This window comes from Homo sapiens, chromosome 1 (assembly GCF_000001405.40).
Source record: "Homo sapiens chromosome 1, GRCh38.p14 Primary Assembly".
Taxonomy (NCBI): Eukaryota; Metazoa; Chordata; class Mammalia; order Primates; family Hominidae; genus Homo; species Homo sapiens.
Genome location: NC_000001.11, coordinates 247,287,082 through 247,302,921, shown reverse-complemented (window position 1 = coordinate 247,302,921; position 15,840 = coordinate 247,287,082). Strand labels below are relative to the sequence as shown.

Below are 15,840 nucleotides of genomic sequence, written 5' to 3'. Positions count from 1 at the left end.
TCCACCCAAGTCCATTAACAGAAGTCAACTGCTGATCAAGTACCTTGTCATCGGCAGCCTGGTAAAAGTTACACCTTGCTCTTGTCTCCACCCCATGAGGTCCACAAAGTACATCATACACATGACCTCACCTGCCCCACCAGCAGCTTAGAGCAACGGGCTGCCACTGTCATTCTCACCTTGTAGACGAGATGACCCAAGCTCAGAGAAGCTGTCTGGCTGGAACGAGGTTCCTGCAGCTCGAAAACCAAGAGTCGAGATAAGCGTCAAACATAGCCTCTCGGCGGGCGCAGTGGCTCACACCTGTAATCCCAGCACTTTGGGAGGCTGAGGCAGGTGGATCACCTGAGATGGGTGGCTCGCTTGAGCCCAGGAGTTTGAGACCAGCCTGGGCAACATAATGTGACCCCATCTGTACAAAAAATTAAAAACACATGCACACACACAAACACAATCTCTGTCTTCATCTGATGATTTCCCTCCTATACTACGTGGGTTCTTGGCAGACTCAGTACCCACTCCCAGACTCATGTTCCCCCGACCCCCTTGTGACTGAGGGACAAATGCCCCCTCCGCTTCCACCATTGCCCTTTATCTCTCTGCTCTCCATAGCCTCTGTGTCTTCCTGCCCTGCTTCTGTTTGTCCAACTTCTCCTGTCCTGAGCTGCTCTGACTAGCCAGGGCTCTCCTCCCCACAGTCATGAAGCCCAGACTAACCATGTTCCTACTCTTATCTGGGAGGGCCTGGTTCACTCCCCCCAAGTTCTAGATTTGAGTTCTACATTTCACAGCAGTGAGGAAACAGGCCACCTGTATGGTGGGCTCTGCTCCATAAGCCGGGACCTCAGGCCGGGCTCTGCACTGTCCACCCAGCCCCGCCCCGTGGTTCCACCTTCCCAACATCACAGACTCAGGATGCAGGAAGTCCAGAGCAGCTTTATCCATCACCACCTGTGGCCTCAGAAATGCGGTGCTACTGGGAGCCGGGGAGCTGTGGGGGACCCAGGACTCTGGGCAGTCTGGGACTGTTGAGCAGCCTAGCAAGGCTGAGTAGCATTTCAGCCCTCCTTCCTGGCACAGATCACCTTAGTTTATGTGTAAACATGGCAACCAATAGGTCATCGGGTTGCGTCCAGGAGCAAATAGGAATGTGCATGTCAAGTCTAGCACAGTCCCTGGAGCATGCAAGTGCCCAGCACATGATATGTGTAGGTTGTAGAGTCTTCCTCTCTCAAGTCCTTTCACTATCCTGATAGAGCTTTCCCCCATGCCTTGTTAAGTGCATGATCTGTAAATGGTCAAGGCTTTACCCAGATAAATACAGACTCCTAGAGCTTGGGGGGATGGGGTGGTCTCCGTGGGTAGAGAACAAAAGGGTTGGGGGTGGAGATAAGGGAAAATGGCTGGGAAGAGGGAGAGCAAGGTGCCCAGCATGCTCTGGACACAGCGGGGCCCATGCTGAAGATTTCTTCCTCACAGGCTACACCAGTGGCCCCTGCAGGGCTGGCCAGGCCGCCCCGGTCACCGAGGACCATTGTAAAAACACGGGTTTGTAAACTCCAAGCTGAGTGTTCCTCCGCCGCGGTCATAGGGGCTGGGATGTGGCCTGTGCAGCGTCGCTGACCTGCATGTTGCCTTCCTGTAGCTGGCGGCAACCCGCGATCTCTAGAGAACAGCCTGGATGAAGAAGTGACCATCGAGATCGTTCTCTCCAGCTCTGGGGACGAGGACTCCCAGCATGGCCCGTACTGCACAGAAGAGCTGGGGAGCCCCACAGAGAAGCAGCGCAGCCTCCCCGCCTCCCACCGGAGCAGCACCGAGGCCGGAGGCGAGGTGCAGACCTCCAAGAAGTCCTACGTGTGTCCGAACTGTGGGAAAATCTTCCGCTGGAGGGTCAACTTCATCCGGCATCTGCGGAGCCGCAGGGAGCAGGAGAAGCCGCACGAGTGCTCGGTGTGCGGGGAGCTGTTCAGCGACAGCGAGGACCTGGATGGGCACCTAGAGAGCCACGAGGCCCAGAAGCCTTACCGGTGTGGTGCCTGCGGGAAGAGCTTCCGCCTGAACTCCCACCTGCTCTCCCACCGGCGGATACACCTGCAGCCGGACAGACTCCAGCCGGTGGAGAAGAGAGAGCAGGCGGCATCCGAGGACGCGGACAAGGGTCCCAAAGAGCCGCTGGAAAACGGCAAGGCCAAACTGAGCTTCCAGTGCTGTGAGTGTGGGAAGGCCTTCCAGCGGCACGACCACCTGGCTCGGCACCGCAGCCACTTTCACCTGAAGGACAAAGCCCGGCCCTTCCAGTGCCGGTACTGCGTCAAGAGCTTCACGCAGAACTATGACCTCCTCCGCCACGAGCGCCTGCACATGAAGCGCCGTTCCAAGCAGGCTCTGAACTCCTACTGAGCCTCTCCGCCTGGGGCGGCCTCACCCTGGCTGGTGCTGCCCCCTCACCTTGGTACTGATCAGCGCCCCCACCCAGGACATACCTTCCCCAGGATAGAGAGCACACCTCCCTCCTGTCCTTGCTCTCAGGTAGTGAGCGTTCGGGTGGTGCCATGGGAGCACTCTCCCTCCCCCAGGTAATGAAAGAGTGGCCAAGTGAGTGTTCTGTTTCTGCTGTGCCAAAAAACGGGGGGGATGTGCCATCACCAGGTTGGACATGCCAGGTGTTCTGCGTCTTAGAGACCCTTGGCCCATGCTCCCCAAGCTCGGGGAGTAAAACTGGGCTATCCCCCGTCAGGGCGGCACCCTGGTCACCAGCCAAACCTCAGTATACTCCCTCCCCTCCTTCCCTGTCTGAACGCTAGGATCTGCTCCTGAAGCTCCAGGATGCCTGCACTTCCACTGAGAAGCTGCTGGCGGATGTTGGACTAGAGGAAAGAAGAAGGCAGGGTGGGACTGATGGGCTCAGTGGGGAGCAGGGCCAGGCACACTGAGCCAGACATGTCATGTCTGAGCCCCAGATTCGTGGCCATCAGGTAGGCAGGAGCACCCCGCAGATCCAAGATGATCAGGCAGCCCTTTTGGGCTGGCCTCTGTGGCAGGGGTCTGCAGAGCTCCTTCTTGAGGTTTGGAAACAGTCGTCATACCTGTTGATTTTCCTGGGGGCCAATCACTAGGGATCTGGAGCTCACCAAAAACAAAGCTTACATTTTAATTTGTGTTGCACACCTACCCCATAATGTCTTTATACCCCAAAGATCCTTGGTAAATGCTTGTGGGTTGGAAGCGGAGTTGTCATCGTTTAAAAGGCACTTAAGTCCCTTCTTCCAATCTGTCCTGTCTAGGAATGTGGAGCTCTGCCCCCAGTGAGGGGTTCTCCTGTCTGGGTGAGCCAAGCTCCAGAACAGAACCTTGCCTGACAACACACTTGATAGATACATTAGCTTGGAGTGCTGGTGTGTCCAAACACTGGCTGGCTTAGAACAACAGGAGTGTATTCCCTGACAGTTCTGGGAGGTGCACGTCCAAGATCAGGGTGTCCTCAGAGTTGGTGCCTTCCGAGAGCTGTGAGGGAGAAGCGGCTTCATGCCTTTGCTGGCAGTTGCCATTCCTTGGTGTGTGGAAGCGTCACCCAGTCTCTGCCTTCATCTCCACATGGCACTCTTGCTGTGTGCGTGTCTGTCTCCAAACCTCCCTTTGTTTAAGGACACCAGTCATATCGGATTAGAGCCCATCCCACCGACTCCAGTATAACCTCATCTGTATCCGCAGCAACCGTTTACCAATAAGGTCACATTCTGAGGTACTAGAGGTTGGGACTTCAACATCGGAATTTGAAAGGGACAGCATTCAGCCCATGACTCCAGATAAACGTGAGGTATGCTATATCATTCCTAATTTACAGATGAGTCAATACAAACTTGAGTGAGCTTGCTCACAATTCCATCAAAGGCAGGGTTCAGACCCAAGTTTCAGCATTTAGGGCAGGTGTCCTCTGCATGGAAGAATCATACTCAATAGCCGTAAACGCTGACAAATTCCCCTTCCTCCCTGCCTTCTGATGGGGGCTGGGCAGGCCAGCTGGAGCTGTGTCTCCTGCTGGGATTCCGGACTGAGAGTGACAGCAGGTAGTGAAACCTCAAGCAATTTAAAACATGGTATTGTTCCTGGAAGACTGGTTATGTTGGCTAGGGTCAGCAAGAGAGGGCATCAAGGCTGTAGTCTAGCAGTGATTTAATCTGCAAGTCAAACCAGACGGGTATTTTGTATTATTCATATGTCACATCCTACCAACAGACAGTAAGTCAGGCAAGGCTCCTGGTGCTCCTTGTCACTCACGTAATTTTCACATCAGGAAAACTCTGGGCTGGGTGCAGTGGCTCACACCTGTAATCCTAGCACTTTGGGAAACCAAGGTGGGTGGATTGCCTAGCTCAGTGACACCAGCCTGGGCCACATGGCAAAACCCCGTCTGTACCAAAAATGCAAAAAATTAGCTGGGTGTGGTGTTGACGTTTGCGGTCCCAGCTACTCTGGAGGCTGAGGTGGGAGGATTGCTTGAGTCTGGGAGGCAGAAGTTGCAGTAAGCCGAGATCATGCCACTGCACAAGCTAGGTGACAGAATGAGACTCTGTCTCAAAAATAATTAAAAAGCCTCTGCCCCAAACTCGTTAAAAGATTTTATAACCACAACTGCTGTTTCTGTGTAGATGCATCTGCATGCCCAGGAGCAGTAAATGCAATAAAATCATTTGGTTATACTTTGAACACAAAATAAACGGTTGAGGCTTTTACTTTCTAAATAGTTTGTCTCTTGTATCAACATAGCTGGAAAAGGGAGAAATCCGATTTTTAAGGCCAAGGGAGGGGAAAATTCCAAGTAGAAGCCAGGCTCTCTGTACACGTTTACCCCACCTACCTGTGTGCTCCTACCTGTGCTGAGGATTCTCTCTGTAGCTCTAAGGTCTTGGGAAGGTTATTCACCTTCCTGCTTCAGACGTCTGACTCAAGAGAAGAACACTGTTCTACTTACCAGAGTGTTTTTCTGTGTAAAACCACATCATGAAGGAGAAAGCGACAAAGGGAATGTGAGGGGCTGGAAGCCACAGGGAGGCTGTCTCTTGAGTCCCCACCACTGATCCAGAGCCAACCAAGGCACCTCAGGAAATGGAAGGCCACATTGCCTCTGGATTTGGAAATCCTCCTGGGTAATGTAACTGAAACCCAGGTTGATGCCATGCAGCAGGAGCAGCAGGGGGAACGTGCTCTCAGGAGAGGTCGGCCAACCCTCCAGCCCAACACCCTTCACCACAGTGGTGGAGGAGGCTGCACCCAGGAGATCTTTGTCTCCCTTTTGGCCACTGATACCTTTGGCCTTATCTGACAACAGCTACCCCTCGATCCTTCCCTCCCACCCCAGGGGCTGGGCAGCTGGCTGGAGCTTTGTGTCCACCTTGCTCTGGAGGTTGAGACCCCCATCTGAGCAACATCCTCTCTCTTTGTTCCTCTGATCCCTTGGCATCGTCACAAACCCACAGGTGCATAATAAAAACTTGCTGAGTCAATATTCCTGTTAGGCTTTTCATTTTCATTTAAAAAGTAAAATGTGGCTGGGCGTGGCAGCTCATTCCTGTAATCCCAGCACTTTGGGAGGCCGAGGCAGAAGGATTGCTTGAGGTCAGGAGTTTGAGACCAGCCTGAGCAATATAGTGAGACCCCATCTCTAAGAAAAAAATAGAACAATTAGCCTGCCATGGTGGCACATGCCTGTAGCTATTTTGGGGGCTGAGGTGGGGGAAGATCCCTTGAACCCAGGAGACAGAGGTTGCTGTGAACGGTGGAGGTTGCTATGAACGGTGGAGCGCCACTGCACTCCAGCCTGGGTGACAGAGCAAGACTTCATCTCAAAAAACAAAAAGTAAAATGTGAAGCACAGCCAAAACATGTTTTCTAAGACCTGCAGGCTTTAGATAGTTCTGGTCACCTGATCTGGCCCCTCCCCAAAAGAAAGAAGAAGAAATAACTGTTTCATACGCTGGGAGTAGATTGTACTCCTGGTCACACCACAGCTTTAAGCCAACCTTAGTCGTTTTTCTCTTTTCTCTATCTCCCCAACTCTTGCCTCAGCTAGAAGAAGAAACAAATAAAAAAAGATGAGGCCATTGGTGGGAGGGTCCCTATCAGTCCTAAATCATACTGTGGCACAAAGGAAAGAGAAGGCCAGCTTTGAAGCCTGTGGAGATCTTGTCCAAGTCACTCTTCTCCTGTGAGATGGTTTCCCTTCCTCTGCCAAAAGCAGAGTTTGGATCAGATAGAAGTAATTCTGCTTGCAGAGTTACGTAGACGATTCAGCGATGATTATAGCACTTCAGCAATTCCATCAAATAAGCCCACTTTTTTTTCACCCCCCTAAAGACGGGCTCTCACTATTTTGCCCATGCTGGTCTCAGACTCCTGAGCTTCTCCCACCATGGCCTCCCAAAGTGCTGGGATTATAAGTCTGAGCCACCACACCCAGCCTCCAGACACACTTAGTATTAGCAACAAACACTGATACTGTTTGGTCTTGAAAGTGACGGTCAGTGCCCACTACTAGTCCATGCAACAAGGCTAGAGGTTAGAAAACTTGCTTAGGGCAGACTGGCCACAGGAAAGGGACTGTTGAAGGGACCACTGGAAGACCAGGTACCTCTAGCAGCCCAGACCCATGTATAGGGCAGCTGATAGAGTGCCAGTGGCCCAGCATCTGGGGGGTGGTTAGTAGTGATCATGAGCTCAACAGGGGCAAAGCCCAGGGGGTCCATCTGTACCTGTTTTGCCCATCAGATACCAATTGGGAACTTTATCTTCTCTTGAAACCATAGCCTGTAACCAGGTCACCATGATTAATGTGCATATAATTAGCAAAGTACAGAGAAGCCATAGAAATTCCCTGTGAGAAGATGCAAAACTCAGTGTGGGAAAGCAGAGTCCTCAGGAATACACGGAAGTGGGAGGAACCCGGGGCTTACCTCACACATCTTGGCCATAGCCGGGAATATCACAGGCAGGCCGACAACTGTGTGACAAAGGGCTGTCTTCTAATCACACAACCAAATGGCAGGAGAACCACCCTTTCTCCATCACCTGCTTTAAAAAAAAAAATACTATGGTTGTGTCTGTCCTGCCCCATTATATTAGTCTTGCTACACCTTGTCAAAATACGAAGAGGTTGGATACTTGCTATTTTCTACCTTTTTACGTGATGATCAGTCAGGCATAGCCACAAGAGAAGACAGAGGAGAGTCTCAGGAAAAGACGAAGTTTATTCTACTCACAGGTCCTAGAGACAGGAGGCACAGCAGGCCAGGCAGGGCCTCATGGGAAAGACACCAGGTGGCAGGAAGCAGAAGACAGGAGCAAGGAGAAGGTTTGGGCCACCGTCTTTATTGGGGTTTCCTTTGAGAGAGTCAAAGCAGGGCAAGGTGAACAGTTTAGGATTGGTTAGTTTGAATAATTTCTGTGGGCTTTGGGTTACAGGGATGGTTACTAATTGCCTGGCACCAGGCTCTGGGATGCGTAAGACAGAGGAATGTTGCCTCCTGGGGTGTCATGTCAGATACTGGAGGTATGGGTCCGAATGGGTTAGTTTGCGTATCAAAGGCATGCTCCTTGCTGGGCAAGGATTCACTGGCGCATAAACCTCAGATAAGGGGGCCTAAGGACTAAACTCTAACTGATATTGTCTTAAATTTCCTCCTGGGACTGGAGGAAGTCGTTCCCAAGAGCCAGACCTAACATTCTTTTCTGCTGACCCCAAATTTTAAACAAAGCTTCTCTTCTATAACCTACTGCAAATCAGAAAATCTGTGAATTCTACCTATGACCTGTAAGCCTCCGCTTCAAGGTATCCTGTCCTTTTGAGGCTAAACCGATGAGTAATTTCAATGTATTGATTTATAATTTTGCTTGTAATTTCTGCTTTCCTAAAATTTACCCCTGCCTTTATTTTTCTCTTCTCCTTTCTTTTCTTTTTCTTTTCTTTTTTTTTTCTTTTTTTAATGACTAGTCAGATGCAGTAGTGAGAGTCAGGGGAAGAGCAGAACAAGGTGTTTGATGTGTAACTCACTGAACAATCGTGATAACTCATTACCTTTGCACCAGCCGCCCTGCCTTTAAAAACCCTTTCTTGCAAGCCGCTGTGGAGGTCAGATATTAAGTGTGAGCTGCCTTATTCTCCTTGCTTGGCATCCTGCAAATAAACACCTTCCTTTCTCCTGCCACAAACCTCAGGACGGGTGTTTGTCCTTATTGCACTGGACGAGTGGATCCCAGTTAGATTAAATAATGGCCAGGTGTGCAGTGTTGGGGCTCGAAGATGGTCAGTACAGACTTGCATTATAGTTGAGAAGAAGAGGACAGATGATATCCAATACATTCCTTTCTCACCACTTTCTCCACGGTTACTCACCAAGGGCAGAGACCTCTGTCTGTGTCTGCTTACATCATCCAGCTTGCGGTCTAAGACAACATGCTCCTGCAAAATGAGAGCTTGGTATGTGTTGGATAGAGCTGCACCCCATCACTTCTGCCCTCCCAAAAGAAACATAACTCCCATCCAAGCAGGTGCTTGGAAACCAGTATGTTCAGGTGCTGGGGAGAGCTGCCACTGCTCAGACACCAGCCTGTGGTATCAACTAGGTATCCCGCAGACACTCTTTCTCTGGCATCAACTAGATATCCTGCAAACACTCTTTCCAAATACGGTCACATTCACAGGTCCCAGGAAAAGATCTTCATGGAGGCCCCATTCAAACCACTACAGTTCTTTTAAGGGAAGATTTAAATCTCAAAACCAGTTAGGTAATCAATAGTGTTCTACCACTCCAGGAAACTAAAGCTGCCCTCCAGGTTCTGGTTTCTACAGTAAAGTGATTCTCCCTCAGGAAATAGTTATCTTCATGTAACCAACTCAAGTTCAGCTGCTCACAAGAAGCAAGGTGTGGTCAAAGGAAAGCAGCTTTACTAATGAAATGCTAGCAGATGGGAAATGCCAAGGCCTTAAAGAAGCCATTTCCAAAGTTTGGGCTGAGGGCAGGGGCTGAAAAAAGGGAAGCCTGATGTGAAAGGCATGCTGGAGTTGTGCAGGTGCAGGGGCTGTGTCTTGCTCTGATGCCTGTCTTGAGTTATGGTCCACCTGGAGTGCAGGCTGGCACCATCTTCACAGTGGCAATGGCCATGTAACTGAGCAGCTTGGCAGCTAAGCCTCAAACCATGTTTTAAAACTTTTTTTTTCCTTTCTCCTTTCCTCCTTGAACCGTCTAGTCTCAGGCTGTAATAACTTCATTATTTACTTATTTATTTATTTATTTATTTATTTATTATTTATTTTTGAGACAGAGTCTTGCCCTGTGCCCCAGGCTGGAGTGCAGTGGCATGATCTGGGCTCACTATAGCCTCCAACTCCTGGGTTCAAGCAATTCTCATACCTCAGCCTCCCTGGTAGCTGGGATTACAGGCATGTGTCACCATGCCCAGCTAATTTTTGTATTTTTTAGTAGAAATGGGGTTTCGCCATGTTGGCCAGGCTAGTCTTGAACTCCTAACCTCAGGGGACCCGCCTGCCTCAGCCTCCCAAAGTGCTGAGATTACAGGCGTGAGCCACGACGCTTGGCCAACATGTTATTCTGACTTCCTTCCACAAGCAGCGACCAGCCAGGGCCTTTTTCTGCTGGTTACAGTCGGGCTGTAGATGCTCCATCTTCAGGCAGTCTGTAAGTGGGGGAGCATTTCACAGCTGGACCTGCATGCCTGCTGTGTTTCTAATCAAGCCCTGGAATTTCCTAACAAGCATATGGTTAGATAAAGGTGCTTGGGGTAAGGAAGTGTGCAGTGGAAAAGGGAAGGGACTGCAGTTTCAAAGTACATCTCAAGGCTGTATTTTAAGACTAAGGAAAAAAAGGTTTTTGCAGTCTGTTTCAAGGTTGTATCTTGAGACTGGAAAGAAAGGAGGAAAGAAATAAGTTTTAAAATGCATTTTGAAACTCAGCTACTCACATTTAGTCAAGAATCTAGAGTGGTACTGGGTGTGGTGGCTCATGCCTGTAATCCCAGCACTTTGGGAGGCTCAGGCAGGCTAATTGCTTGAGCACAGGAATTTGAGACCAGCCTGGGCAACATGGCAAAAACCTGTCTCCACAACAAAATACAAAAATTAACCAGGTGTGGTGGTGTGCACCTGTGGTCCCAGCTCCTCAGGAGGCTTAGGCAGGCGGTTCACCTGAGCCTGGGAGGTCGAGGCTGCAGTGAAGCTTGATCATGCCACTGCACTCCAGCCTGTGTGACAGTAAGACCCTGTCTAAAAACAAAAAACAACAAAAAAGAATCTAGAGTGTTAAAGCTGAAAGAGACACAGTAAGTTGTCCAGAGCCCTCCTTTGGCCAGGGGGGACAACTTAGTTAAATGTTTTATCTAAGGTTACAGAGTTTGGGCTGAACCAAGTTTCCTGCAACCTCATTCAGTTCTGGGGCTGATCCCGTGGTCGCCAAGGCAGGTGAGGACGCGGAGGCAGGGACTGTAAGTGCCTTGCCCTCAGACTGCCTCAGCAGGGCGGCGGTGAAGCCACGCTGCTCACCACAGTCCTCACAGTGGCTTCAAGCTGGAGGAGGAGTAAGCCTCATAGATGCAGTCGCGTTTCTGAGCGGATGGGACAGTCTGAGAATACTGAATGAGTGAGTGGTTTTGTCATTGTTTTTGGCAGGATGGAGGTGGGTGAAATTTTTCTGAGCTGGGTTTTAAGAAGCAAGAAGAAGCAAATTACTTTTCTGCATCTTATGGCTGGATGGGAAGAAGTTTATGACAGAGGCATGGCTGAAGCCGGGCAGTTTCCCTCCCCGGCCTGGGCGCCTCTCCCTCAGCTCCAGGTGGAGCCTGGAGCGCTGCTCTAGAGGGTGGTCTTTCCCCAGGCTGTGCTCAGTCTTAGGGCGTGGCTGAAGATAGGACGTCTGCTGAGCCTCAGGCCTGACAGTAACAGTGAAGTGAAGACACACCCAGAGAAGAAAACAAAGGTTTTGAAAGGAAGACCCTGGTCTGTTTTGAAATGGGGTCGGGGAGAAGGGCCTTTGGGAGAGGAGGGCTTCCCTTGCCTGGAAATGCCTAGGAGCCACTCGCCACCCATGCCCTCTCCTTTGCCCAGTCAGAGCCACCGCAGCCACCAGCCCCATCGGAAAGGGGCTTAGGAAAATCCAGGACACCGTGGCTCTGCTGTCCTGTGACCCTCACAGCTCCCTCCTGTCTCCTCAGAGGGGCAGCTATTTTTGCAATCCCAAAGCATCACTTTTGGGATGGGTTTAATCCAACCGTGCTGCAGCAGAGGCTCAGGCAGGGTCCAGGTCTGAGTATGGTGGTGCGTCCTAGTCCATAGTTGTCTTGGTAACTGTATTGACTTTCCGGCATAAGTCATGGAAACATCATTTGTGCGCCACTAACTTGGGGGTATTCAGTTCTCCCAACTCCAATCTCCAATCTGCCTGTTTTCCAGAGAGGTCTGCAAGTGCTCTCTAGGGAGACGAAGCGGTGGGCCCTGCCCGGATTCCAGTCTCAACACTGCTGCGTGGCTCTGAGCAATTTCCTAGGAGTCTGTAGAAGTGGCTCCAGGGCACCGCCCTGGGGCTGCCTGGGCAGAGGTGCAGCTGTGCCTGCAAGCCCTTAACCTGAGCTGGGGTGATGGAGGGGTGAGGGCTGGGAGTGGCGAGGGACGCTTTTTCTTCAAGATTTTATCTGTACCTCAACCTGCCCTCCCTGTGGTAGATGATGATCAGGCCAGCAGAACAAGACTCAGGAGCCTTCCTATGACTGGGAAGAAGAGACTTGCGTTATTCACCATTTACCTCCCATGGCACCTGCTGAAACGCCAGGCCCTCTTGGAAGAGCTTGGCACATAGCAGCTCACTGAATCTTCATGATCACCCTGCAAAGGAGGCACAATCATCATGCCCATTTTACAGATGGGCCATACAGTGATAGAAGTTGCTGAGGGACACGCAGCAGATCCAAGATTTCAATTCCGGCAGCCTGTCCAGACTCTGGGCATTTCATAGTGCGTGGAGCTGCTATATACTAACGGTAATTAAAGGCATTGAAAGGTTTTTGTATTGGTTCAAACCCCAAGAGCGCGCCAACGGACAACACAAGGCGGTGTGGAGCAACATGCTGTTTTAATGAGCACCTGGGTGCCGGCGGGCTGAGGCCTAAAATGGTGTCAGCACCAAGTGAGGACAGGGCAGGGATTTTATAGTTCTCTGCAAACAGGAAGTGTCCCAGTCTGACGTGACTGCCACGTAGTAGCCAGACGGCCTCTCTCCATCCTCAGGTGCGTGTCTTCCGGCCGGGGTGCGTGTCTTCCGGCCGGGGTAGGTGTCTTCCGGCCGGGGTGCGTGTCTTCCGGCCGGGGTAGGTGTCTTCCGGCCGGGGTGCGTGTCTTCCGGCCGGCCCTCTTCCTGCTTCTGCTTCTCGCTGACGCGCGCTGCTGGTGCAAGCGGCCTTGCGCCTTGCGACTGGGTCTGAGGAGGGAGGAGTTATTCATCCCCCCAAGCTTTCGGCCCCGGGGAGAATCTTTCATTCCTGTCTATTTGGTTATAGAAAAAGGGAAAAGGGGCGACTTTCTCCATAACTACTTCAGGTGTGACATAGGGGGTGGCGTGGGCACCTCGGAAAAAAAGAAAAAATTTTGGCGTATTCTTGAGAGACGGCTTGGTATCCATCGTGTCGTTGTAGCAGGAGCATCGTCTGGATTGTCTGGCGGTTAACTGTAGTTTCAACAAGAGTTTTAATGGCTTTTATTATCAGTGGGATACCACAGGGGAGAAACAGGAGGACCCCAATGAGGAAGATTACTGTCCCTACCAGCGTTTTAAATCCCCCTAAATTAGAGAACCACCCTCCTAGAAGGTTTGTTGGGTCCCATCCCTTCCAGGTTTGGACTGGTACACGGGCTACTTTTCTGATGTTTGAAGCGATTTCTAGAACCGCTTTTCCGTTACCGTCTATGTTAAGACAGCAATTGGAGATGTTAAACTTACCACAGACCGCACCCTCTTCTGCTAATAAGTAGTCTAGAGCCAGCCTGTTTTGATAAATTGCTGGGTGCGTTTGGTTTTGTTGTCACGCGAGCATTTCCAGCGCTGGGGCGGTTTGGTTAGTGATTATCTCTAGAGCAGCCTGTAGTCTAATTATTCTGTTTAGCATATATGTGGGAGTGCGATAACCCCGTGAACCATCCTCAGCCCAGGTGGCAGGACCGTAATATTCGATGATCCGTTGCGGAGGCCACTCGTCCTCTCACGGTCTTTGGCTTCCTCCTGCCTTTAAGGACTGTTTTTCTCTGGTTATCATACGCAGGGACTCCAAGGGTGTCGGGGTTTTCCCACGTAAAGGCAAAGAGGTTTTGGGAATCAGGGTGTAAAGGAATTGTGAAAAAAGCATCCTTTAGGTTTAGAACAGAAAAATGGGTGGTGTTGGAGGGAATTGTGGAAAGTAAAGTGTATGGGTGAGGAGATACTGGGCATACTGGGAGTACAGCTTGGTTAATGAGCCTGAGGGCCTGGACTAAGCGATAAGTTCCATCTGGTTTTTTAACAGGTAGAATCTATATGTTAAAAGGGGAGTCTGTTGGGCAGAGTAGGTGACTGACGAGAAGGAGAGAAACGATAGGCTTTAGGCCTGTAAGAGCTGCTTGGGGGATGGGATACTGCTTCTGTGACAGGAACTGGGCGGGCTCTTTAAGGGTAATGCGGACGGGGCTGTGGTGTTTTGCGACTGAGGGTGTGGAAGTATCCCAGACAGCCGGGTTAACTACGGATGGGGGAAAAGGAAAGGTTGCATGTTTTAGGGTGGGAAGTTGGACGAGTAGAAGAAAGCTAGAAGTACCGGAGGGGTCTGGGCAGATGCGTTGGCTGCCATGGGGAATGTGGAAGTGGAGAGTAGTGTAGAGTTTTGAAAGGATGTCTCTGCCTAGAAGCGGAGTTGGGCATGAGGGCAGGACTAAGAGTGAGTGAGGGAAAAGGCGTGAAGGGAGCAGAAGAGCGGAGGGTGGCTCAGGGTTTGGAGACTTGTCCATCAATTCCCACAACAGAGACTTGGGAGGACTGGGTCGGTCCTGAAAAATTAGGTAAAGCAGAGTAGGTTGCCCGGTATTAATTAAAAAACATACTGGCCTACCTGCCACCATCAGGGTTACCCTTGGCTCGGATGAAGCGATGGTAGTTGCTGGGGCATCCATTCCAGGGCACCGTCAGTCTTCAGCAGCAAGGCCAATGAGAGTAGGAGGTTTTTGGCTGGCTCAGGAAGGGATGGGGGCGGTCCTTACAGGGGCCGCTTACAGTCCAACTTCCAGTGGGGTTTTCTGCAGAGGGGGCACAGCCTGGTGGGCTTAGCCGGGTTTGGGCATTGTCTGGACCAGTGGCCTACATTGCCACACTTGAAACAGGTGCCAGGTGGAGGTGGATTACCAGGAGGCTTCCGTGTGGAGCCACAGCCCCGTGAGCCTGCAGGGCCCCTGATGGCAAAGGCAAGCATTTGAAACTCTCCCTGTTTTTGCCTTTTACTTTCCTTATCATGACTGTTAAAGACTTTGAAGGCTAAATTAAGAAAGTCTAGTTGTGGGGTTTGAGGGCCGTTGTCAACCTTATGAAGCTTGTGCCAGGTATCGGGGTGGATTGGGAGATGAATCGAAGGTTTAAAATAGTGGTTCCTTCTGGGCTGGCTGGGTCTAGGTTGGTATACTTTCTCATGGCTTCAGTTAAACGACAGAGAAAAAGGGCTGGGTTTTCGTCGGGACCTTGGGTGATTTCTGAAAGTTTTTCATAGTTGACTGCTTTATGGGCACCCTTTTTGAGTCCTGCAAGGAGACACACAATCATGTGGTCTCGATGGCGGCGTCCAGAAGCCCCGTCTTGATAATTCTAGAGGGGGTCCTGTTTGGGGACTGCCTCTGCACCAGTAGGCTGCGCAGGAGCCTGGTGATGAATTGTATCAGCATGTGCCTGAGTTAGGGTCCAGATACGGTCTCAGTCTTCTGGGGTGAGGGTGGAAGACAGGATAATGTAGAGGTCATGCCAGGTTAGTTCATAAGACTGGGTGAGGTATGAAACTCATATATAAGAGGTAGGGTCTTCTGGAAGTGAATCAAGTCTTTTGTTAATTTGAGAGAGATCAGTGAGGGAGAATGGAACATGAACTCTAACAATACCTTCAGTTCCTGCTACTTCCCGAAGGGGGCGCTGAAGTAAAGGTGGGGCATGGGCTGAAGATGGCGCCCGAGCGAGTATGGGCGGGAGAGAAGGAAAAGCCGGAAGTGGTTCCTGCTGAGGGTTTGAAGGGGGAAGAGGGGTTGAGTTAATAGGCGGCGGAGGATAGATAGGGGTGTAAGGTGGCGGGATGGGTTTACGGGCCTCAGGAGAGAGGGCGGTGATGAAGGAGAATGGGGACAGGCAATACTAGAATTGTCCTGAGGAGGGGACGGTGTCGGAAGAGAAGTGGATACTGCTGACTGGGAAGGTGGCGGCTGAGAAGATAAAGAGGAGGCTTGGGGGTTTAAAAAAGACATTTGAGAGGGAGAGGAAGGGGCTGGGAGGGGTGGGCAGCAGTCTGCTGGATCAAACGAGGAAGAAGAGGTAGGGTTGGGAGGAGAAACGCGATCAAGGTGGAAGAATGGAGGAGAAACAGGTAAGCAAGAACAGCAGAGGTCGGGCTGTGATCTGAGTGCAAAAAGGCCTGGACAGAAGGACATAAGGAATCTCTCCCCATTTCTCCAGTCGTCGGAAATAATTGCTTAAGTCAGGTAAAACTGTAAAGTCGAATGTTCCATTTGCGGGCCATTTGGACCCGTTATCTAGTTGGTACTGTGGCCAGACTGAATTG

The 15,840-nt window shown here is 51.0% G+C and overlaps 1 protein-coding gene across 1 annotated transcript in view, besides 3 other annotated features; it reads left to right on the top strand.

The window, feature by feature from the left end:
- The window catches only part of ZNF496 (zinc finger protein 496), a 34,453-nt gene extending 28,946 nt beyond the window's left edge, over positions 1–5,507 (top strand). Inside the window, exon 10 of the mRNA NM_032752.3 lies at positions 1,646–5,507. Coding sequence (NP_116141.1) covers positions 1,646–2,403 — 758 coding nt within the window. The 3' untranslated portion in view covers positions 2,404–5,507. The remainder of the gene's footprint in view (positions 1–1,645) is intronic.
- Positions 2,201–3,099: an enhancer, noted in NCBI's record as "H3K27ac-H3K4me1 hESC enhancer chr1:247463125-247464023 (GRCh37/hg19 assembly coordinates)". NCBI's record gives its function as "activates a minimal SCP1, AML or CMV promoter by ChIP-STARR-seq in primed H9 embryonic stem cells {active_cell/tissue: H9 hESC(primed)}" and the evidence as "EXISTENCE:reporter gene assay evidence [ECO:0000049][PMID:30033119]".
- Positions 3,100–3,999: an enhancer, noted in NCBI's record as "H3K27ac-H3K4me1 hESC enhancer chr1:247462225-247463124 (GRCh37/hg19 assembly coordinates)". NCBI's record gives its function as "activates a minimal SCP1, AML or CMV promoter by ChIP-STARR-seq in naive H9 embryonic stem cells {active_cell/tissue: H9 hESC(naive)}" and the evidence as "EXISTENCE:reporter gene assay evidence [ECO:0000049][PMID:30033119]".
- Positions 11,857–12,375: an enhancer, noted in NCBI's record as "H3K27ac-H3K4me1 hESC enhancer chr1:247453849-247454367 (GRCh37/hg19 assembly coordinates)". NCBI's record gives its function as "activates a minimal SCP1, AML or CMV promoter by ChIP-STARR-seq in naive H9 embryonic stem cells {active_cell/tissue: H9 hESC(naive)}" and the evidence as "EXISTENCE:reporter gene assay evidence [ECO:0000049][PMID:30033119]".